Source organism: Homo sapiens, chromosome 12 (genome assembly GCF_000001405.40).
Source record: "Homo sapiens chromosome 12, GRCh38.p14 Primary Assembly".
Lineage (NCBI taxonomy): Eukaryota > Metazoa > Chordata > Mammalia > Primates > Hominidae > Homo > Homo sapiens.
The window spans coordinates 128,812,461-128,834,045 of record NC_000012.12 but is presented as its reverse complement, the minus strand read 5'-3'; the positions used below and the strand labels follow the sequence as shown (position 1 = coordinate 128,834,045).

The window sequence follows — 21,585 nt, the reverse complement described above, 5'->3', positions numbered from 1 at the left end:
TCTGTGAATCAATACTTTATTTTTGTTTATTCATTTATTTTTTTGAGACAGAATCTCACTCTGTTGCCCAGGCTGGAGTGCAGTGGCATGAACTCGGCTTACTGCAACCTCCGCCTCCAGCGTTCAAGCGATTCTCCTGCCTCAGTCTCTCAGGTAGCTGGGATTACAGGCGCGTGCCACCGTGGCCGGCTAATTTTTATATTTTTAGTAGAGACGGGGTTTTACCATGTTGGCCACGCTGGTCTCGAACTCCTGACCTCAGGTGATCTGCCTGCCTCGGCCTCCGAAAGTGCTGGGATTACAAGCGTGAGCCACCGTGCCCGGCCTGAACCAAGTACTTTAGCTCAATAGATGGGATACTGCTAATTGGATAGGCATAGGTCAACTGCCCACTCTTGGACTGGAGGGGTCAAGCCGCCAGACCTAAATCACAGCCGCCAGACCTAAATCACAGCGAGCATTGATTAGTTAAGGAAAATCAAGGTGCAGTTACCAGAAGGGAGAATGGATGCTGAATAGGACCCAACAATAGCTATCCTCTAAAGAGCCTGGCCACTCACTGTGCCAATTTTATGTGTTGGGTGTTTATCCTTTGATAATATTCTTTCTTTATTTATTTATTTATTTATTTATTTATATTTATTTATTTATTTATTTTGAGACGGAGTCTTGCTCTGTCACCCAGGCTGGAGTGCAGTGGCACAATCTCAGCTCACTGCAAGCTCCACCTCCCAGGTTCACGCCATTCTCCTGCCTCAGCCTCCTGAGTTGTTGGGACTACAGGCACCCGCCACCATGCCCGGCTAATTTTTTGTATTTTTAGTAGAGGCGGGGTTTCACCATGTTAGTCAGGATGGTCTCGATCTCCTGACCTCGTGATCCGCCCGCCTCGGCCTCCCAAAGGTGTGAGCCACCGCGCCCGGCCCATAATATTCTTTATAACTCTTTATAAAATAAGAACATTAACTTTTGGGAGGCTGAGGCAGGAGAATCACTTGAACCCGGGAGGTAGAGGTTGCAGCGAGCCGAGATTGCGCCACTGCACTCCAGCCTGGGTGGCAGAGCAAGACTCCATCTCAAAAATAAAATTAAATAAATAAAATAAAATAAAGGCATATTATAGAAAGATTGTCATTCTGTACATACTTATAATAGGATAAATAGGACTCAGGAATATGGAGATATAAAAAGTTCTGCTGAAAACAGAGTTTATAGAATGGGTGGCAAGACTCTGTCTCAAAAAAAAAAAAAGAACATTGTCTTATGTACTTCAATTTTTTTCTTAGTTTGTGTGCTCTCAACAGCAATTATTATTTTTTATACACATAAGTTTTAAATCTTCATGTAGTCAAACTAATTTTTTACTGCATGCCTTCTGCCTTTAGTGTTAGGCTTAGGAAGGCATTTTCTCTCGATTATCTATTTGCCAATATTTTCTCCTAGTGCTTTTATAGTTTTGGTTTCTTAATATTTAATCCATCTGAAATTTATGTTGGTGCAAAATATGAAGACTGTTTTCCCCTATGTTTCAACATTCATTCCAACATAATTTGTTTAACAATCCATCCTTTCCCCATGAATTGATGAATTACTGATTCTTTTTTTTTTTTTTTTTTTTTTTTGAGATGGAATCTCGCTCTGTCGCCCAGGCTGGGGTGCAGTGGCGCAATTTTGGCTCACTGCAAGTTCGGCCTCCAGGGTTCATGCCATTCTCCTGCCTCAGCCTCCCCAGTAGCTGGGACTACAGGCGCCCACCACCACGCCCGGCTAATTTTTAGTATTTTTAGTAGATACGGGGTTTCACCGTGTTAGCCAGGATGGCCTCGATCTCCTGGCCTCCTGATCTGCCCGTCTCGGCCTCCCAAAGTGCTGGGATTACAGGCGTGAGCCACAGCACCCGGCCCCACCTTTTTTTTTTTGGAGATGGAGTCTTGCTCGGTTGCCCAGGCTAGAGTGCAGTGGCGTGATCTTGGCTCACTGCAACCTCTGCCTCCCGAGTTCAAATGATTCTCTCACCTCAGCCTCCTGAATAGTAGCTGGGATTACAGGCTTGCGTTACCATGCCAGGCTAATTTTTGTATTTTTAGCAGAGGTTGGGTTTCACCATGTTGGCCAAGCTGGTCTCAAATTCCTGACCTCAGGTGATCTGCCTGCCTCGGCCTCCCAAAGTGTTGGGATTACAGGCATGAGCCACTGCACCCGACCAGATCCCTTTATTATCATACACTGAGATTTTTCTTTTTTGCTTTTATTATTATTATTTATTTATTTATTTGAGATGGAGTCTTGCTCTCTTGCCCAGGCTGTAGTGCAGTGGCACAATCTCAGCTCACTGCAACCTCCACAGGTTCAAGCATTTCTCCGGCCTCAGCCTACTCAGTAGCTGGGATTACAAGCACCTGCCACCATGCCCGGCTGAGTTTTGTATTTTTCATAGAGACAGGCTTTCACCACTTTGGTCAGGCTGGTCTGGAACTCCTGACCTCAAGTGATCTGCCCAGCTTGGCCTTCCAAAGTGCTGGGATTATAGGCATGAGCCACCATACCAGGCAGCCTTTCATTATTATTATTATTATTTTTGAGACTGAGTTGCACTCTTGTTGCCCAGACTGGGGTGCAATAGTGCAATGACGGCTTACTGCAACCTTGGCCTCCCGGGTTCAAGAGATTCTCCTGCCTCAGCCTCCGGAGTAGCTGGGATTACAGGCACCCGCCACCACGCCTGGCTAATTTTTTATATTTTTAGTAGAGACAGGGTTTCACCACGTTGTCCAGGCTGGTCGTAAACTCCTGACCTCAGGTGATCTACTGGCCTTGGTCTCCCAAAGTGCTGGGATTACAGACGTGAGCCACCACGCCTGGCCTCATTATTTTTAATTGATATAATAATTGTTCATAATTATGGGGCATAAGGTAGGATTTTGAAACATGTACTTCTATGAGATCAACTTTTTTAGCTTCTATATATGAGTGAGAGCACATGGTATGTATCTCTCTGTGCCTGGCTGATTTCACTTCATACAATCAGTTATTTTGTATTAGTGCTTCTGTTCTTGTTCTTTGTATTCATCTTCCTTGATCTTTCCTGTAAGGCCTAATCTAGAAAACAAATACACTTATAATTACCAACGAACTATTATATGATTACAGTTTAGGCTAAGGTTGCTTACAAGGAATTGTGAAAGTGGTGGTTAAAATAGGATCTTAGGTGTGGTCACACCATCTTGCGCTTCTTGCAATAGAAGGAAGCAGAAGTTCATTTTCTTTCACTTACTCTCTCTCTCTCTCTTCACCTCCCTGCTTCTATTGGCGAAGCCCAACTTTTGCACGTCTTGGGGGTTTTTTAAACACAGGTGGAAAAGTACGCAAGAAACAGACGTTGCTACTCGCAAGGGTCAAATAAAATGAGTGCCTGAAACAAGTCAAATCAAAATCAGCTTCCTGACCGTACACTCTCACATCCTCTGTTAAAATAAATGCAAGTCATTCTGGGAGCTGAATTAGTTCATACTAAAAGTAGATTAGTGTGGCTTTGGTTTAGGATCAAGGATTTAACACCTGATTCTATTCCGTTGGTTGCCTGTGTTTTTATTGATTTCACTTTTTATACCTTCTGCTTCTATCAAGAGTATTTGTAGCCAGAAAGAGTGGTTGCAACAGTGACTCCTTGAAGTAAATAGAATTTATGGCAACTCTCTGTACCCAAGGAGATTCAAAAGATGTGTGGCATGGCCTGTGGCTGTACTATGGCTAATGACTTATGCTATGGCCTGATGCACAAAGGTGAGGGGGCCTATCCGAGTCCCTCCCTAGGGATCTGGGAAATTGGAGAAGCTGAAGCACTGGCCGTGAGTGCTGAGGCTGAGCTGAGCTGAGGCTGAGCTGTCATGACTCAGGGGGCAGGTGTTCAACAGTTGTTTGTTGAGTGAGTTAGTGATGTACAGATGGCACAGAAAGGCTATGACAGCTGCTTCTAACCCGAAGTTTTGAGGAAGCTGAAACTGTCAGTAAGGAGAGGCAACTGTCTGGCGGTGAGGAGTGAGCAACTCAACAGAGATGTGAAACTACGGCAGAAATGTCATGAAACAGCCAGAGGAGTCAGGCAGTCCCCTGAATGTCCTGTCTGTGACGGTTTCTCAGTTCACTGCCTTAAATCACACCCACTCGAGCTCTGCACTGGGTGAGGCTCAGGAGACAAAGTGGTACCAGAGAAGGGAGAACCCTGTGTTTCCAAGTCTAGTCCACACCACAGGCACCTTTGCAAAGAGTGTCCTTGCCCCTTTTCTAGAGGGCCCTTGAGGTGAAGAGCCAATAGACAAAAATGTTATTTTGGAAGACACGGTTACCTATCCCTTAGATGCCTACTGTATGGGTTGGGTCATTTATTAATTTTAGCTGCAAAGGAGAGACTCATAGGATCACTTTTTGGGGCAGAAGTATATTGCGAGCATATCCAATAAAGTGGGAGGAATCACCTTACATCAATTCTTTAGCTATACCATCACTGGGGGCTCAGTACAGGGGCTGCAAACCCAATCATTACAGAAGCCCAGCAGAAAACTCATGGGTCAGGCATGAGAAAAAAATCAGGCTGGCCTCTCTTGTTCCTTAATTTTTTTATTTTTTATTTTTTGAGACGGAGTCTCACCCTGTCGCCCATGCTGAATGCAGTGGTGCGATCTCGGCTCTCTGCAACCTCTGCCTCCTGGGTTCAAGCAATTCTCCTGCCCTAGCCTTCCAGTTCTTTTATTTTTTCCATTTTTGATAGAATTATGATAGGTGGCTTGGGGCCACAAGTAATACAAATAACAGAAAACCCAACACAGTGGCTTAAACAATGTTAAGACTTATTATCTCACTTCTCCCTGAGTCTCCTGTGCCATCCCCCAAGTCAGTCTCATCCTAAGCTGGTTCATCTCATGGTTGTCAATAGCCATCAGGAGCTATTAGAGCTGCAGGTTTCCTAACTCACATCCAGTTTGGGAGCATGTGCCTCGCCCACAGTCAGCCAATAAGTGGCCTTGCCTCTAGTCTGACTGGGTCAACTTACCTCATTTGTCCACTGCTGGGTCAGTAACCGCAGGCACCAGGGAAATTTCGTGTCCTGAAAGGTTAGAGTCTGCGTTCCTGAACTGGTCACCATGAAGAGGCATGAGACTAGTACTGGTGTGGGCTAGTTCTATCTGGGAACAAGGATGAAGTCAGGTTCTCCTGAGCTACATGGGAAGCTGGTGGGGACAGGGGTGGGTTAAGGAAGACAAATATGTGAAGAGAATCAGGATTGTTTGGAAAAAGAAAGAGTATGGATGTTGGCTAATTAGTCAATCATATCCATTACATTTTAGTACGGAATGGAGTTGCTGGCCGGGCGTGGTGGCTCTAGCCTGTAATCCCAGCACTTTGGGAAGCCAAGGCAGGCAGATCACCTGACTTCAGGAGTTCAACACCAGCCTGGCCAACATGGTAAAACCCCACCTCTATAAAAAATATAAAAATTAGCTGGGTATGATGGCAGATGCCTGTAATCCCAGCTACTTGGGGGGCTGAGGCGGGAGAAGCACTTGAACCTGGGAGGTGGAGGTAATGGTGAGCCGAGATGGCACTATCGCACTTTAGCCTGGGCAACAGAGCAAGACTCCGTCTCAAAAAAAAAAAAAAAAAAAAAAAGAATGGGGTTGCTGATAGAAGTTACTGCAATGATGGTGTGAAATAGACTATGCTGTCCAATACGGTAGCCACTAGCCACAAACCACTTGCAATATGGCTAGTGTAACTGAGGAACAGAATTTTTCATTTTATTTAATTTTAACTAGTTTCAATAGCCACACATAGCTAGTGGCTCCTGCGCTGGACTATGCAGATATGGAGAATTTTCTCTATGATAACAAAAATAAGACAATAGTGAGTGGGGAGGGTTTAGGAAAGCTAGAAAGTGTCTGCCATCTAAAGACAGTGGCTGCTGCTGAGTGTCAGCAGATTGTGGCTACAGGGGGAAGCAAATGTGTTTCCATTACCTGTTGCTACATAATAAACTGCCCCAGAATTTAGTGGCTTAAAAGAACAACCATGTTATTTGTTTACAATTCTGCTATCTGGGTTGAGGCTCAGCTGTGTGGTTCTTCTGCTGGTCTTCACATGGCTGCATTCAGTAGGCAGGTCATCTGGAATGCTGAGAATCCCCTCTCCACATAGTTGCAGACTCCTCCTCAACATATGATGGAAGGCAGGTGGACGTCTAATATGATGGCTCCGGACACCCCAGTCATGAAAGTGGAAGGTGTCAGACTTTAAGCCTGTGCCCAGACCAGGCCCAGAGACACTTTTGATGTATTCTCTTGGTCAAAACAGGTCACAGGACAGGCCCTGTGGTGTGATCTCTGAGGAATACATAAAGGCTTGAATACTATGGGGCATGGTTCAAAGTGATGGGATCATACTAATGTAACAGGTAATCACAAGTCCAGCATTGCCAGAGCTCACATTTATTTTCCCCAAATAGCAAGGCATCCAAATTTATATGTGAAACCTTTCAAACTGTAACTATTAGTTCACTTTCTTTTGGTACCAGCTTTATGGAGACATATTCGCATACCATATAATTCACTTATATAAACTGTAGAATTCAGTGGTTTTTTAGTACATTCACAGAGATGTGCACCAATCTTCCCCTCCCCTCCCCCAGTATCAGGAAACTGTACTAATCTGCATTGTCTGTATGGATTTGCCTATTGCCTATTCTGGCCATTGCATATAAATGTGATCTTGCCAGATGTGGTCTTGGCTCACTTTTTTGTTTTTTTAAACTTAGCTTTAGTTTTCTCAAATGAGGCAATGCAATCGGATTAGTTTACTATCATTCAAAAATGGCAGAGTGTATTGAGCACTGTTTGGACACTGGGTTATCACATGATTCAAATCATTTGCTTTGCTTTCATTCCATGTTTAATGTTAATTTTACTCTAGACTTTGCCTGAGCGTCAAACCTATCAGTCTTAGAAAAAATACTCAAAGATTCTGTCTCCTCTACCAACTGCAAAGTGGAAGCAGCACTGGACTCATAATTAGATATAAGCCTTTCATTGAAGTCTGAGTTCTATTGCTTTCTTTTTTATTTTTTATTTTGAGACAGTTTCGCTCTATCACCCAGGCTGGAGTGCAGTGGCGTGATCTCGGCTCACTGCAACTCCACCTCCCAGGCTCAAGCGATTCTCCTGCCTGAGCCTCTTGAGTAGCTGGGATTACAGGTGCGCAACACTACCGCCTGGCTAATTTTTGTAATTTTAGTAGAGATGGGGTTTCACCATGTTGGCCCGGCTGGTCTTTAACTCCTGACTTCAAGTGATCTGCCTGCCTTGGCCTCCCAAAGTGCTGAGATTACAGGCATGAGCCACTGTGCCACTGCACTCCAGCCTGGGTTACAAGAGCGAAACTCCATCTCAAAAAGAAAAAAAAAAAATGGCACATATGTGTGTGTGTGTGTCTATATGTACATGTTCAAGGACATATATTAGTATCCAATAATAAGTTAAAATACTAATATATGCCCTTGAACATGTATAGACACATATATATACACATGTATACATGCACACATATACACACACTTATATACACACATATATACATATATACACACAGATATACATATGTGTATACACACACATATATGAGAACATAAGGTGACTTGCATCATTTACATTCAACAAATGGTCAGTCATTCACTCATCCAGTTCAATCTAATACCTATTTATCATTGGCAAGTGCTGTGCCAGCCTCTAGAACTACAATCGTGGTTAAAACAAAGATCCCGGCCATCCCAGCTTTGAAGACAGGCATTCAATAGTTGCACAAAATAAGTATAAATTATAACCGGTGCTGTGGGAAAAAAGTATAGGGAGTTCCAAGGCCATAAAAACGGGGAGCTAACCTAGTGTGGCAGGGTTAGGAAAGTGATATTTGAGCTGACAGCTGGAAATGACAAGCATCAACAGACAGGTGGCAAAGGTCCAATTCGGGCATTCAATTATTCTCTCCTTAGACATTGATTAAATATATATTGCCTGCTGTGTGGCAGCACTGTGCTGACCATCAGTCTATCTGTCGGACATTTAAAAAAGTTTTTTAAAAAGAGAATGCATGCAACTTCAAGACTTACTGGCAGGATTACTTCTCCAGATGACCTACTGGCAAGCCAACTTCCCAGCTACTGGCTCCACCCTCATCTTAGCTGGAGGGAATGATGAAGGAAGAGGAGGTGGTCTTACACTAATTGAATCATTGCAGCAGCTGTGGATCACGATTCCTTTCTTTCTTGCCTTTTTTTTTTTTTTTTTTTGAGACAGGGTCTCACTATGTCACCCAGGCTGGAGTGCAGTGATGCCCTCACTGCTGAATGCAGCCTCTACCTCCCGGGCTCAAGCAATCCTCTTGCCTCAGCCTCCCAAAGTGCTGAGATTATAGGCGTGAGCCATCATCCCAGGCCGGGGTCTCAATTTCTTTTTTTTTTGTCTTTTTTTTTTTTTTTGAGACGAAGTCTCACTCTGTCACCAGGCCGGAATGCAGTGGCACAATCTCGGCTCACTGCAACCTCTGCCTCCCTGGTTCAAGCGATTCTCCTGCCTCAGCCTCCTGAGTAGCTGGGACTACAGGCGCCTGCCACCACGCCCAGCTAATTTTTGTATTTTTAGTAGAGACGGGGTTTCACCATGTTGGCCAGGATGGTATCGATCTCTTGACCTCGTGATCCGTCCGCCTCGGCCTCCCAAAGTGCTGGGATTGTAGACGTGAGCCACCATCCCAGGCCGGGGTCTCAATTTCTGAAGCCATGCTGAGGGCCATTTTTGGGCGGCACTCTTTCACTCCACTATGTGCCAGGCGCTGTCCCAGAGGCAGGGGGCACAGTGAGGAACAAAACACAAGAGAATCCTGCCATCAGGAAGCTTACACCTGTTAACACATGCAGGTTGGGGAGATAAACGAATAAATTAAAAAATGTAACAGGTAATAAGGAGAAAAGAGTAACATGATGGAATGGGATACTCGGGCCTTGGACAGGCTAGTGAAAAAAATGTTTCTCTGAAGTCAACACTTCGGTGGAAGGTTGAAGGATGAGAAGCCAGCCATGCAACCATAGATGGTGTAGGGGCAGTCTCTGGGAAAGCCTGAAACAGGCTGGAGCTTGCCTTGTTCTAAGCCAGTGAGTCTCAATGGGGGCGTATTTGCCCCCAGGAGTCCTTCGGCAAAGTCTAGAAGACATTTTCGGTTGTTAACCTGAGGTGCTAGGGGGTGGAACTGGCCCCTAGTGGATAGCAGAGGCCAAAGCTGCTGCTGAACATCGTGCAACGCACAGGACAGTCCCGTCGCTCAAAGTGCCAACGATGCACGGGTTGAGAAACCGGGTCCTCTCCAGGACTGAAGCCCAGGGCAGGGAGCACGGGGGCAGCCTGAGCAAACCCGCCTGGAGAGCAGCCGCCGTCTCAGTGTGAGTTTTGGCTGCCTACTGGGCCCCACCGAAGCCCGAAGAGGGCCAGGCTCCGGCTTCTTTGTTTAAACTCCCTTAGTCCGACTGCCTGCAGTGGCTCATGCACGTAATTCCAACACTATGGGAGGCTGAGACGTGAGGAACGCTTGATGCCAGGAGTTCGAGACCAACCTGAGCAACAAAGCGAGACCCCATTTCAAAAAACTGTTTAAAAATTAGCCACAGGCAGCGGCGAGCGCCTGCGGTCCCAGCTACCCGGGAGGCTGAGGTGGGAGGGCCGCTTGATCCTGGGAAGCTGAGGCTGCAGTGAGGCGTAACCGCATGACTGCGCTCCAGCCTGGGCGAGAGAGGGAAACCCTGTCTCAAAAAGGCAAACAAAGGCTCTCGGCCGCCAAGCTGCGGAATCCCAAGCTCCCCAAGACACGCAGTGATCCAGAATACCGGCCACCTCCTCGCCTAGTGCCCGGGGCGGGGCCGGAAGTTCCGGCGAGTGGGGCGTTGAGCAGCGGCGAGCCCGCCCAATAGGGACATCTCAGGCCCGGCAGTCTCGCGAGAAGGGCGGCGGCCCTGGGTTCTGGGACAGGTGACCCGGCGGCGGGGCGAGGCAGCTGGCGGCGTCGCATGGAGGGCTCTGGGGGCGGTGCGGGCGAGCGGGCGCCGCTGCTGGGCGCGCGGCGGGCGGCGGCGGCCGCGGCGGCGGCTGGGGCGTTCGCGGGCCGGCGCGCGGCGTGCGGGGCCGTGCTGCTGACGGAGCTGCTGGAGCGCGCCGCTTTCTACGGCATCACGTCCAACCTGGTGCTATTCCTGAACGGGGCGCCGTTCTGCTGGGAGGGCGCGCAGGCCAGCGAGGCGCTGCTGCTCTTCATGGGCCTCACCTACCTGGGCTCGCCGTTCGGAGGCTGGCTGGCCGACGCGCGGCTGGGCCGGGCGCGCGCCATCCTGCTGAGCCTGGCGCTCTACCTGCTGGGCATGCTGGCCTTCCCGCTGCTGGCCGCGCCCGCCACGCGAGCCGCGCTCTGCGGTTCCGCGCGCCTGCTCAACTGCACGGCGCCTGGTCCCGACGCCGCCGCCCGCTGCTGCTCACCGGCCACCTTCGCGGGGCTGGTGCTGGTGGGCCTGGGCGTGGCCACCGTCAAGGCCAACATCACGCCCTTCGGCGCCGACCAGGTGAGCCGCGCCCCCGCGCGCTGTCCCTGTCCCTGTCCAGCCCCTGCCCAGCCCCAGCCTCTTCCCCTGCCCCAGTCCCTGCCTCTGACCGCGGAGGGAGCCCCTTGCCCCGGGGGGCTTCTGTCTAGTGCCGAGGAATCCCGCCAGCAGGTGGGCCAAGACTGGAGGTACCGGTGTGATGGGTGCTGGAAGGGGTTTGCCTGGGGCGGGGTGAGGTCTACACACACAGTGATGGCCACAGTGGCTTTAAAGAAAAGAGAGGCCGGGCGCGGTGGCTCACGCCTGTAATTCCAGCACTTTGGGAGGCCGAGGCGGGAGGATCTCTTGAGCCCAGGACTTTGAGACCAGGTTGGGCAACACAGTGAGACCTCATCTCTACCAAAATTTAAAAATTTGCCCTCCGTGGAGGCGCACACCTGTAGTCCTAGCAGAGAAAGGAGGATTCCTTGAGCCTACGAGTTTCGGAGGCTGCAGTGAGCTAGGGTCACACCAGTGCACTCTAGCTTGGGTAACAGAGTGAGACCCCACCTCAAAAAAATAAATAAATAAAATTTAAAAAATACGCTGAGCGCAGTGGCTCACGCCTGTAATCCCAACACTTTGGGAGGCCGAGGTGGGTGGATCACCTAAGGTCAGGAGTTCGAGACCAGCCTGACCAGCCTGGCTAAAAATACAAAAATTAGCCGAGCGTGGTGGCGGGCACCTGTTCTCTCAGCTAGTCGGGAGGCTGAGGCAGGAGAATCGCTTGCACCCGGGAGGCAGAGGTGCGATGAGCCGAGATCGCGCCACTCCACTCCTCCAGCCTGAGCGACAGAGCGAGACTCTGTCTCCAAATAAAAATAAATAAATAAATAAAAAATAAATGAACGGGACCCTTCTATGTTCAGGCCCTGTAAGTTCAGACCAGAAGGCTAGGAAAGAGCAGTTGTTTGAGGAGCTTTCCAGACATGGGGATTCGCAGGTGCAGGGCCCTGGGCCAGGAAGCTGAGGGAAGGGGAAGCCCCCGTTGTTGCCTTAGCTTCCTTTACAAAGAAGTGGGAAAACACTCATATTGCGTCTTCGTGGCTTTAAAGGAGTTACGGGCTAGGTTGGGTCGGAAAGCTCAGATGAAAATGAGTTTGAATCAAGTTAGCATCAAGCTGCTCCCCTGCAACTGTAACTGCCAAGAAGTGAGGGAGGAACCACTGCAGCTCTTCAGGAGGGGCAAGGACGTGGCCACCAAGTATTATATGCAGAATAGGCCGCCTTTAAGAGCAATAGCAAAGTCAGATCGTTTCAGAAAATATAAAAAAAAGTGGGAAGTGAGGTGGAAGGCTGGGGCCGGATCATGTGAGGAGTGTTAAAGCGTTGGGGATACAGTCGAGAGCTTTACTGGGTTCCAGCAGGGAGTGATTTGTGCAGAGCAGGCACTACAGCTGGGGTAGCAGGTCAGGTCTGCTTCTTATTTTCTGAGGATTCACAAGCTAAGAATGGTTCTTAATATTTTCTTTCTTTCTTTTTTTTTTTTTTTTTTGAGGCGGAGTCTCGCTCTGTTGCCAGGTTGGAGTGCAGTGGCGCGATCTCAGCTCACTGCAACCTTCACCTCCTGAGTTCAAGCGATTCTCCTGCCTCGGCCTCCTGAGTAGTTGAGACTACACGTGCACGCCACTGTGCCCAGCTAACTTTTGTATTTCTAGTAGAGACGGGGTTTCACCGTGTTGGCCAGGATGGTCTTGATCTCTTGACCTTGTGATCTGCCTGCCTCGGCCTCCCAAAGTGCTGGGGTTACAGGCATGAGCCACGGCGCCCAGCTAGTTCTTACATTTTTAAGTGGTCGGAAACGGGATCATTTGTGACCAGTGAAAATTTTATGAAAATCAAATTTCAATCTCCATAAATAAAGCGTTATTGGAACATAGCCCCACCTGTTTCTGCAACACAGCCACTACACTGGGGCTGCTTTCACTAAGCAGTGGCAGAATTGAGTAACTGTGATGGAGACGAGATGTCTCATAGAACTCAAAATGTGAACTGCCTGCCCCTTCACAGAAGTGTGCGGATGCTTGTAGAGAATGGGTTGTGTAGGAAGTGGTGACATTAGGGACATGAGGTGGGAGTCTCTCCTAACTAGAGTGGAGGCAGTGGAGGTGGGTGAAGTGGATGGATGGAGTTCAGCTATGGAAGTAGAATGGGCAGGAAGTACTGGCAGGTTGTCTCCCTGTTTGTGTTCCTATGTAGGAATACCTGAGGCTCAGTCATCTATAATGGAAAGATGTTTCTTTGGTTTAGGGTTCTGCAGGCTGTACAAGAAGCAGGGCGCCAGCATCTGCACTGCTGAGGGCCTTGTGAATGGGAGCCAGCTGTGTAGAGATCACATGCACTAGAGGAAGTGAGAGAGGGGAGGGAGGTGCCAGGCTTGTAAACGACCTCTCTCATAGGAGAGTTCACTCCTGTGACAGCCCCAAGCCTTTCTTCAGGGATCCGTCCCCATGACCCAAACACTAGGCCCCACGAGAAGCACTGGGGATCACATTTCTTCATGAGGTTTGGAGGGTCAGATATGGAAACCATGGCATGTGAGCAGTAGGGAAGGCGACTCTTAGGCTTTTGCCTAAGTATCTGTGAGTGCCTGTTTTTTAGGAACATTTACTGAGAGCTTACTGTGCACCAGGCACAGTGCTTGCTAAGTACCTAAGTACAGTATCTGGTTAGTCCACATGACACGTATGCTACATGTCTACATGTCTACACGACTACTTAGTCTACATGACACGTACGGTGCCCATTTTACTGATGAGGAAACTGAGGCTTGAGAGGTTTAATCATTGGCCCAAAGTTACACAGCTTGTATGTGACTGAGCCAGGATTCAAAAGCCTGTCCTTTGAATGTGAGCTTTCACTCTGCCTGTGTAAGGCTATCCGTTACAGTCAGGAGACACCTTAGAATGACGTTAGAAATGATAGTTTCTAATGTACTGAATTGGAACTGGGTTTTTTGTACAGTGGCGTATGCTTTACATATGTGACGAAATCTGAACCTCACAGGAGTCTTAGATCCACTTTACTGATGAGGAAACAGGCACAAAAACAGATCACTTTCTTACTGCCTGTAGGTAGTGAGTGGTCAAGCTGGACTTCTATCCCAGCTCTGGTTCTTTTTTAGCTACCACACTAAGATGGGCCCAGTGTGCGTGCGTTCCGTAATGGTTCTGCAGGGCTGGATCTCAAGGCCCAGGCTCTTGGCCTTGGGGTGCCATTGGCTCATGAAGGAACGGGGCTGGTAGCACAGTCAGCCTCTATCTTTTAAAGACTTGGCCACCCCACACAGGTGTACTGGAAAGCTTCTATTATGCCTCTTACTTGTGCCTTTCCCACGTGATCTTATTTAAGCCTCGCCACAGTTGCTGGTGTGTGTGCTGCAGTTAAGCCTGTTGTCCAGGGAACAGAGGCCTAGAGGGTTAGCTCCCAAGGCTGCACAGCAGGTGCCTAGGGGAGCTGGTTTGGGGCCCTGGCAGCCTGACTTAAAAGCTGGTGCTCTCCAGGATATAACAGGCGAGTAATTGATACTTCTTAAAATGAGGAGGAAATGGTGCTCGGTTATCTCAGATGAATCTGACAGAATATGCGCTCTTTCATCCATAATTAAATGTGGATGTTGAAAGGAGATGTGCCTTCTTCCGAAAGATAGCTGGCCTGATCTCTTCCGACGTAATGCTGTCATGTTAAAAGAGGACCTTGTGGATGAAAGGCTACTCGGGAGACCTGGCCGCCCCCTGCAGCGCGTGCTGAGTGATTGGATCCCAGCTGCTTTCATGGCCGTTCTTCTTGGATGCTTGGGATAGTTTGTAGACCGCCTATTAGCTAATAATGGACCAATGTTGCCTTTCTTAGGTGTGGTAATTTCACTGCCGTTAAAAGAATGTCCTTATTTCCAGGAGATTCATGATGAAATTTTGGGGGTGAAATTGGTTGCTGGAGCTTATTTGTATGTAGATCACCCAGAAGTATTTTTTTTTAAGACCAAGTCTTATTCTCTTGTCCAGGCTGGGGTGCAGCGGTATGATCTCAGCTCACTGCAACCTCTGCCTCCTGGTTCAAGCTATTTTCCTGCCTCAGCCTCCTGAGTAGCTGGGACTACAGGTGTGAGCCACCACGCCTGGCTAATTTTTGTATTTTTAATAGAGACGGGGTTTCACCATGTTGGCCAGGTTGGTCTCGAACTCCTGACCTCAGGTGATCCACCTGCCTCGGCCTCCCAAAGTTCTGGGATTACAGGCGTGAGCCACCGCGCTCGGCCAGTATTTTTTATGTATAGAAAAAAGTGCTGAGGCTCCAAGTGAAGGGTAGAGAGGTGTGCATTTTGCAATTCAACTTTTCTATACATTTGGAATTTTTTTAAATGAAAGATAAGAAAATGTTCACTGATGAATGTATAAACTAAATATAGTATATCCATACAATGGCATATTTTTCAGCCATTAAAAAAGAAATGAAGTACTGATGAGCCTTGAAAACATTCGGCTGCATGAAGGAAGCCAGACACATAAGGCCCCAGTTGTGTGATTCCATTGATGTGGAATGCCCGGAAGAGGCGAGTCCACAGAGACTGGAAGTAGATTAAGGGTTGCCACGGGCCAGGAGAGGGGCGTGGGACTGACTTAAAGGGAACAGGAGTTCCTGTTGGTGTGATGAGAATGTGGACTTGGATGGCAGTGATGGCTGTACATCTCTGAATATACTAGACACTACTGAATTGTACACTTTTGAAGGGTGAATTTTATGGTATGTGAATCATAGTGAAAAAACATTTGAAGGGAAAAGTACCCTTATGCCAGGGTGCTTGCCCGTGACCAGGTGGCAGGTCCCCCTCCAGGTGCGGCTGCTTCATGGCAGGAGGCCTGGCTGGGGACCCTGAGGTGTGCAGGCCTGAAGTACACTCTGTTGTGCCCCAGGCGAGGGTTAATTTGTCCTGGTTTGGTCCTTTTCATTTAGAGGAAACCTGTTTGTATTTTTAAGGTGCTTTTTATGGTTCTTTGTCACTTACCTCTTCATCTCCCAGGTAGAGCCTCTGGGAAACATTCTGATAGGAGAGACAATGGGGTGAGGCTGCATAGCTTTGAGAAGGAGGCCTAGTTGGCTTCTGAAAGAGGATGTGTGAGCTGTGAGTCCAAGGGAGACGTATGTTCGTGTAAATCATGTCAGGCCGTATCTTCCCCCAGTGTTTCACCTTTTTCAAAGGTCACAATCGTTCTTGGTGGATGGATTATTTGAAATAGTGACCTGAAAGACGAAAATCTTATGTTACAGATGAAAAGAGCAAATGATGCATTTTTTTTTTTTCTAGAGGAAAAACTGACACCCCATTTTAAGGAATTCTTCTGTCAGCCAACTGTTTGGTATGCTGTACACAATTCTATTCTTTTAGCTTTTCTTCTCCAAATTGATTTTGGTGGTATCTTTTGGCCAGTCATGTGAAAACCTTGTTTACCCTTGGTAGGGCACGTAGCTGCAGCTCACACAGTGATGTCATGCAAACGATGGGCAGGAGGTTGTGGCCTGCTCGCCAGGGGCTGGGAAGCATGTGATGTCCCTTCACAGCAGCCAGGTTCCCTTGGTACAGAAATGCCTGCTGTGTGGTTATTTAGGGCTTAGTAATTTTGGCTTATAAAGTAATTTTGATGGATTACTCTTGGAGTTGGAATAAATTGACCACCACAATTACACAGGAAATGAGGATGAATGGCATTTTAAGGTTAGGATTTTCCCAGAGTAATCAAATGCTGATATTTTCATGCTTCATCTGAAGAGGACATAAGTCTGAGACTGTGGGAAGATATGTGCAGTGTCACTGTGGGTAACGGGAAGGCCCGAGTGAGACCGTGGGAAGGTGTGTGCAGTGTCACTGTGGGTAATGGGAAGGTCCGAGTACATTTCAGTTAGGAAATCATTTGTGCCTCTATTAAGTTTATATACTATGTTTACTGGCCTCTTTTATGCTTGTCAAAAAATTACTTTTTGTTTGTTATTTTTTCGCACTTCTAGTTTTGTTTTCTCAGTAACCATTTCTCTGCTCACATTTTTCATTTTTCTTCCTGGTCCATGTCTAGTATAGCATGAGAATTGGTGTCCACTGTTGAGCAATATTTAAATGCATTGTGTCCTAGTGAAGAAGTGTCTTAGATGTCTGTGAAGTTCTCACCTCAAACTCTTTATTCAGTAGAGATGTCTGCATTTGGTCTAGGACCTCTGTTCAGTATTGTAATAGATAAGAGAAAAGTTTAAACTCTTGAGAATAAGTGATTTTCTTTTAAATTTAGATTTTTCGTTTGAAGTGGTGTTACTATATATAATTAATTACCTGCCACCATAGTGGCCATGCTTAATCATTTGGACTTCAAACAAATCTCTTTTTGAGGAGCACACAATTTTTTTTCTTTTGCTCTATTTCCTTTAGAGAGGAACACACAATTTTAACTATAAATTTTACTCCTCTGATTTAATCTTTAAAAAATAGAGTTTAAAATACCATATCAAATATATGACTGCTAAAAAGATGCATGTGCTTATTACATACCATATCTTTTTTTTTCTTTTGAGACAGGGCCTCTGTCGCTTAGGCAGGAGTGCAGTGGTGCCATCACAGCTCACTGCCACCTCCTCCCCAGTTCAAGGGATCCTCCCACCTCAGTCTCGCAGGTAGCTGGGACTGTAGGCGCACACCACCGCACCTGGCTGATGTTTGTAATTTTTTGTAGAGATGGGGGTCTGTCTGTGTTCCCAGGCTGCTCTCAAACTCCTAGACCCAAGCGGTCTGCCTGCCCTGGCTTCCCAAAGTGCTGGGATTCCAGACCTGAGCCACCATGCCCAACCGTAATTGGTTGTTTTGGCCCCATTGAGAATGTGTTATTCAGTAGAGCAGATTGTTCTATGGATCCAGAAACTAGATCTATTATTAGAATAAGAATTTTCTAACTCTTTCATAACCTGTGACTTAAGAATGAGACAGTAGAAGTTTTTAAGACAGCAAGAGAGTCTTTTTATGAGATCCAGTATCAGCCTCTCATAAGTTTGTTAAAAATAAATTTATGAAATGAAACTCACTAGAAATGTCTCTGTCTAGTACAGGGTTCATTTGCACAGTATCTTATTTAGACGTAAAAATCCAGGTGGGCAGAGAAGGCTTCTGGTGTGTCTGCCCCCAAATGACCTGTTCCCACCGCTTGGGCTCCATTGAAGTAGCCTCGTGAACTCCATAAGCCTAGATGTTGCGTTATTACCTCAGTGCTTTTGTTTGAGTCCAGGAAGTCAGTGATTTTTGAGCCTTTTGGAAATCCCACCCTTATCAGAATTTCTCCGATTCCATTGATAGCCTGTCTAATCTAAAAATAGCATGTGGTTTTATCTTTAGTCTATAATTTCCTCTTTGCTTCAAGTTTACTGAGATCTCTGATTCTCAGGAGACCAGATACAATTGGTGTGGGTGGTGACTTGGCCTCACTGAACAAATGTCTCTCTTTGGGGCCTAAGCATATTTGTGGGGTGCCTCATGGTACTTGCATGTAGCTCAGTAAGGCATGGAGCTTTATAACATTGGTTCTAAAACTTACCTGTGAGTAGAAGTCACCTGGGAAGTTGCTTGAAATGCAGATTCCTGGGCCTGGGCCCCAGAGACCGTGATTCAGTAGGTCTGGAGCGTGGGTCCTGTGACTGTGTTTGTTTTTTGTTTGTTTGTTTGTTTGAGATGGAGTTTCACTCTTGTCAACCAGGTACAGTGGCACAGTCTCGGTTCACTGCAACCTCCATGTCCTGGATTCAAGCGATTCTCCTGCCTCAGCCTCCCAAGTAGCTGGGATTACAGGTGCCCACCACCATGCCTGGCTAATTTTTGTATTTTTAGTAGAGACGGTGTTTCACCATGTTGGCCAGGCTGGTCTCGAACTCCATACCTCAAGTGATCCACACGCCTCAGCCTCCCAAAGTGCTAGGATTATAGGCGTGAGCCACCATGCCCAGCGGACTCTGTTTTTAAAGAGCATTCCAGGTAATTCCAAGGCAAGTGGTTCAGGTACTTAGAAAATTCTACAGCAGAATATACTTGGAAAAACTCTCTAGCATTTGTTGGAATTTAGTGTAATTAAGTGAAACCTACCTAGCAACTGTAGTAATTAAAAGCGTGGGGTGTGCTTTTTGTTGAGATCCGTGAATGTTTCTGTAAACACAATTTTGATTGTGTTGCGCTTCTTAAAGGTTGTGATGACAACGGTAATTTTAACCACTTGACCGTATATGGTTTTCATCCTTGAAGACTGTCATATATTTTCAAGTGTCTTTCCTCCCTGTTATTTTAGGTTAAAGATCGAGGTCCGGAAGCCACTAGGAGATTTTTTAATTGGTTTTATTGGAGCATTAACCTGGGAGCGATCCTGTCGTTAGGTGGCATTGCCTATATTCAGCAGAACGTCAGCTTTGTCACTGGTTATGCGATCCCCACTGTCTGCGTCGGCCTTGCTTTTGTGGTCTTCCTCTGTGGCCAGAGCGTTTTCATCACCAAGCCTCCTGATGGCAGTGCCTTCACCGACATGTTCAAGATACTGACGTATTCCTGCTGTTCCCAGAAGCGAAGTGGAGAGCGCCAGAGTAATGGGTAAGCACTTAGTTCTCATCTTGGGCTGTTTGAAAGGACTTTATCGATCTCTTTATTAACATCCTAGCTTCGGTTTGTTGTGTGCTTATTGTGTGCTGGGCCTGGGCTGAGTGGTTTACATGTCTTCTCTCCTTTAACACTGCATTTCCCCAAGGAGGCGGGTGCGGTCTTATTATCCCATCTTAAAGACAGGCCAGTGGCCTGATTCCAGAGCTCATGCTTTAACCCCACGTTGCACTTTCTCTCACTGCTAGTGTAGACGGAAGCTCCTTTGGTGCCAGATTATAAAGGTAGAAATTTGTGGAGGACATCGAGGAGACAGAAGACATGCTTTATACATGTTTCTTTTTATTTTAAAAAGCTTTGAAATACATTTGAATGAAAAACTAAGCAGTTGCTTATGCTGTCAGTACCTGTCTCTGCTCTTTAAAAAGTAAGCCACTGCCTCTTACCTAAAGGTCAGCATGGGCTCCATCATACAGCGGTCAGGTCCATCATACGGCGGTCAGGTCCATCATACAGCGGTCAGGTCCATCATACGGCGGTCAGGTCCATCATACGGCGGTCAGGTCCATCATACGGCGGTCAGGTCTGTAACTCTTGACAGGAAGGTGCAGTAGCAGAATGGCGAGATGCACTGAGGGTAACCAGATGATCTCATGGGACTTACCCAGTGTTAGCACCAAAGTCCCATGAACTGAGGTGTTAAAACAGAAAGGCCTGTGTCCTCAGAACCCCTCCAAGTCACTGGCCAACTATGACTCATGTTTGGTGATGTTGGATGCCAGTTAATAAAGTCCAGAACTTAAGCCCAAGAAGAGAGCTCAGAAGTGTTTGTGTTACTCTTTATTGAGGAATAATTTACAGATAGTAAAATTTACCCCTTATATCTGTACAGTTTTGTGAATTATGACAAACTTACTCAGGTTGTGTAACCACCAGTGCAGTCAAGGCATAGATTATTTCCATCCTTCCAGAGAAGTCTCTGGGACCTTTTGTAGTCAGTCCCCTCATGGAATGTTTTGATCAACGTAGAAATGCCTGGAGGCTGCTGGGTGGGAGGCTGATCACTCAGCCATCAGAGCGTCCTGTGTCTCTGAGCCGTGCACCCCATTGTGGCATGGCACTGGTTGCTGGACATTCTTCTGCGGGCCCACTCACACATCTGCCTGCCTGCGGCCTGTCTGTGTTTGTCTTACTCATGCTCTTGGAGCCGTAGCGAATGTGTCTAATATTCCTTCCACGTGGTAGATTGAAACTTCACCAAAATAGCCCTGTGCGCCTACTTTGCTCCTGAACATCTCTGATTTCTCCGGCTGTCCCTGTGTGGAGTTCTGGCAGATCTCACCAGTCTACATGACCTATTGGAAATGCCAGTGGGTCATTGTGGCATTCAGACACATAATTCAAAACTGCAAATGGTGGGACCGCACTAAAGAATTTTTAGTAATTAAAGTACAGGAGGCTGAGGTGGGAGGATCACTTCAGCCCAGGAGGTCAGGTCAAGGCTTCAGTGAGCCATGGTTGCACCACTACACTGTAGCCTGGGTGACAAAGTGAGACCCTGTCTCAAAAAAAAAAAAAAAAAATATAGCCCCATCTTAGCTGACACTAGTCTTTTGCCAGGGCCTTATTTGATCAGACAAAAGCAGTGTTTCGGATCCTAGAGGTCTTTTTCAGGAACAACCCTTAAAGTTTTAGTATCCGTGTGGGTGGTAGCCCATAGACATTTCTGCAAGAGAACAGCATTGTTCTGTGGACATATTTGGGTTTTAAAGCACAAATGGCAGTGTGGAGAGGGTTTGGAGTTACTTTTACTTAGGAAGCCGATTTCCTCTTAGGATAGTCTTTGAAAGTCTTCTTGGGCAAAAATAAGGGAAAAAAAAGCAGGGGCTAGCTTGCAGAAAAGTTGATGGTCTGAGGAATTCTCAGATTCTGCTGTTTGTATGAACTGGCTCTGTAACCTTGGGCAGGTTACTGATCTTGCGAAGCCCAGCTTTCCTTTTTTTACAGCGGAGATGGATTCATCTCATGGGCTCACGGTGGGGCCTGAGCACAGTGATGTGTGCAAGGCCCTCAGCAGGATGCCAGGTACATGATAAGGGCCCTGTCAGTGGTGACCACTGTGACGAGGGTGCCTTAAAAAAGGTGGGCCTCCAGGCTGGGCGTGGTGGCTCAAGCCCGTAATCCCAGCACTTTGGGAGGCCGAGGCGGGCGGATCACGAGGTCAGGAGATCGAGACCATCCTGGCGAATACGTGAAACCCCGTCTACTAAAAATACAAAAAATTAGCCGGGCGTGGTGGCGGGTGCCT

At 47.1% G+C, this 21,585-nt stretch overlaps 1 protein-coding gene and 1 long non-coding RNA gene across 8 annotated transcripts in view, besides 7 other annotated features; one reads left to right on the top strand and one right to left on the bottom strand.

Annotated features, from left to right (window-relative positions):
- Positions 3,526-3,635: an enhancer, noted in NCBI's record as "active region_7341". NCBI's record gives its function as "activates an Ori minimal core promoter by ATAC-STARR-seq in GM12878 lymphoblastoid cells {active_cell/tissue: GM12878}" and the evidence as "EXISTENCE:reporter gene assay evidence [ECO:0000049][PMID:35858748]".
- Positions 4,206-4,275: an enhancer, noted in NCBI's record as "active region_7340". NCBI's record gives its function as "activates an Ori minimal core promoter by ATAC-STARR-seq in GM12878 lymphoblastoid cells {active_cell/tissue: GM12878}" and the evidence as "EXISTENCE:reporter gene assay evidence [ECO:0000049][PMID:35858748]".
- Positions 4,600-10,102, bottom strand: LOC124903083 (uncharacterized). Its single transcript, XR_007063602.1, has 2 exons — positions 8,156-10,102; positions 4,600-6,377 (listed from the first exon to the last, which is right to left on the bottom strand). It is a non-coding gene; the product is annotated as an uncharacterized LOC124903083 (long non-coding RNA).
- Positions 10,088-21,585, top strand: part of SLC15A4 (solute carrier family 15 member 4) — a 30,765-nt gene continuing 19,267 nt past the window's right edge. For 5 of the 7 annotated variants that reach the window (XR_007063044.1, XR_007063043.1, XR_007063046.1 and 2 more), the window contains exons 1-2: positions 10,088-10,648; positions 18,976-19,271. Coding sequence is in view for 3 of the 7 variants with exons in the window: in NM_145648.4 (NP_663623.1) it covers positions 10,103-10,648; positions 18,976-19,271 (842 nt within the window). In the remaining 4 variants the exon portion in view is untranslated. Of the gene's footprint in view, positions 10,799-14,038; positions 18,669-18,975; positions 19,272-21,585 lie in introns of those variants that run through there. The other 2 variants (XM_011537895.2, XR_007063045.1) reach the window with 2 other exon arrangements.
- Positions 10,178-10,337: an enhancer, noted in NCBI's record as "active region_7339". NCBI's record gives its function as "activates an Ori minimal core promoter by ATAC-STARR-seq in GM12878 lymphoblastoid cells {active_cell/tissue: GM12878}" and the evidence as "EXISTENCE:reporter gene assay evidence [ECO:0000049][PMID:35858748]".
- Positions 11,818-11,897: an enhancer, noted in NCBI's record as "active region_7338". NCBI's record gives its function as "activates an Ori minimal core promoter by ATAC-STARR-seq in GM12878 lymphoblastoid cells {active_cell/tissue: GM12878}" and the evidence as "EXISTENCE:reporter gene assay evidence [ECO:0000049][PMID:35858748]".
- Positions 11,958-12,077: an enhancer, noted in NCBI's record as "active region_7337". NCBI's record gives its function as "activates an Ori minimal core promoter by ATAC-STARR-seq in GM12878 lymphoblastoid cells {active_cell/tissue: GM12878}" and the evidence as "EXISTENCE:reporter gene assay evidence [ECO:0000049][PMID:35858748]".
- Positions 15,293-15,402: an enhancer, noted in NCBI's record as "active region_7336". NCBI's record gives its function as "activates an Ori minimal core promoter by ATAC-STARR-seq in GM12878 lymphoblastoid cells {active_cell/tissue: GM12878}" and the evidence as "EXISTENCE:reporter gene assay evidence [ECO:0000049][PMID:35858748]".
- Positions 16,043-16,122: an enhancer, noted in NCBI's record as "active region_7335". NCBI's record gives its function as "activates an Ori minimal core promoter by ATAC-STARR-seq in GM12878 lymphoblastoid cells {active_cell/tissue: GM12878}" and the evidence as "EXISTENCE:reporter gene assay evidence [ECO:0000049][PMID:35858748]".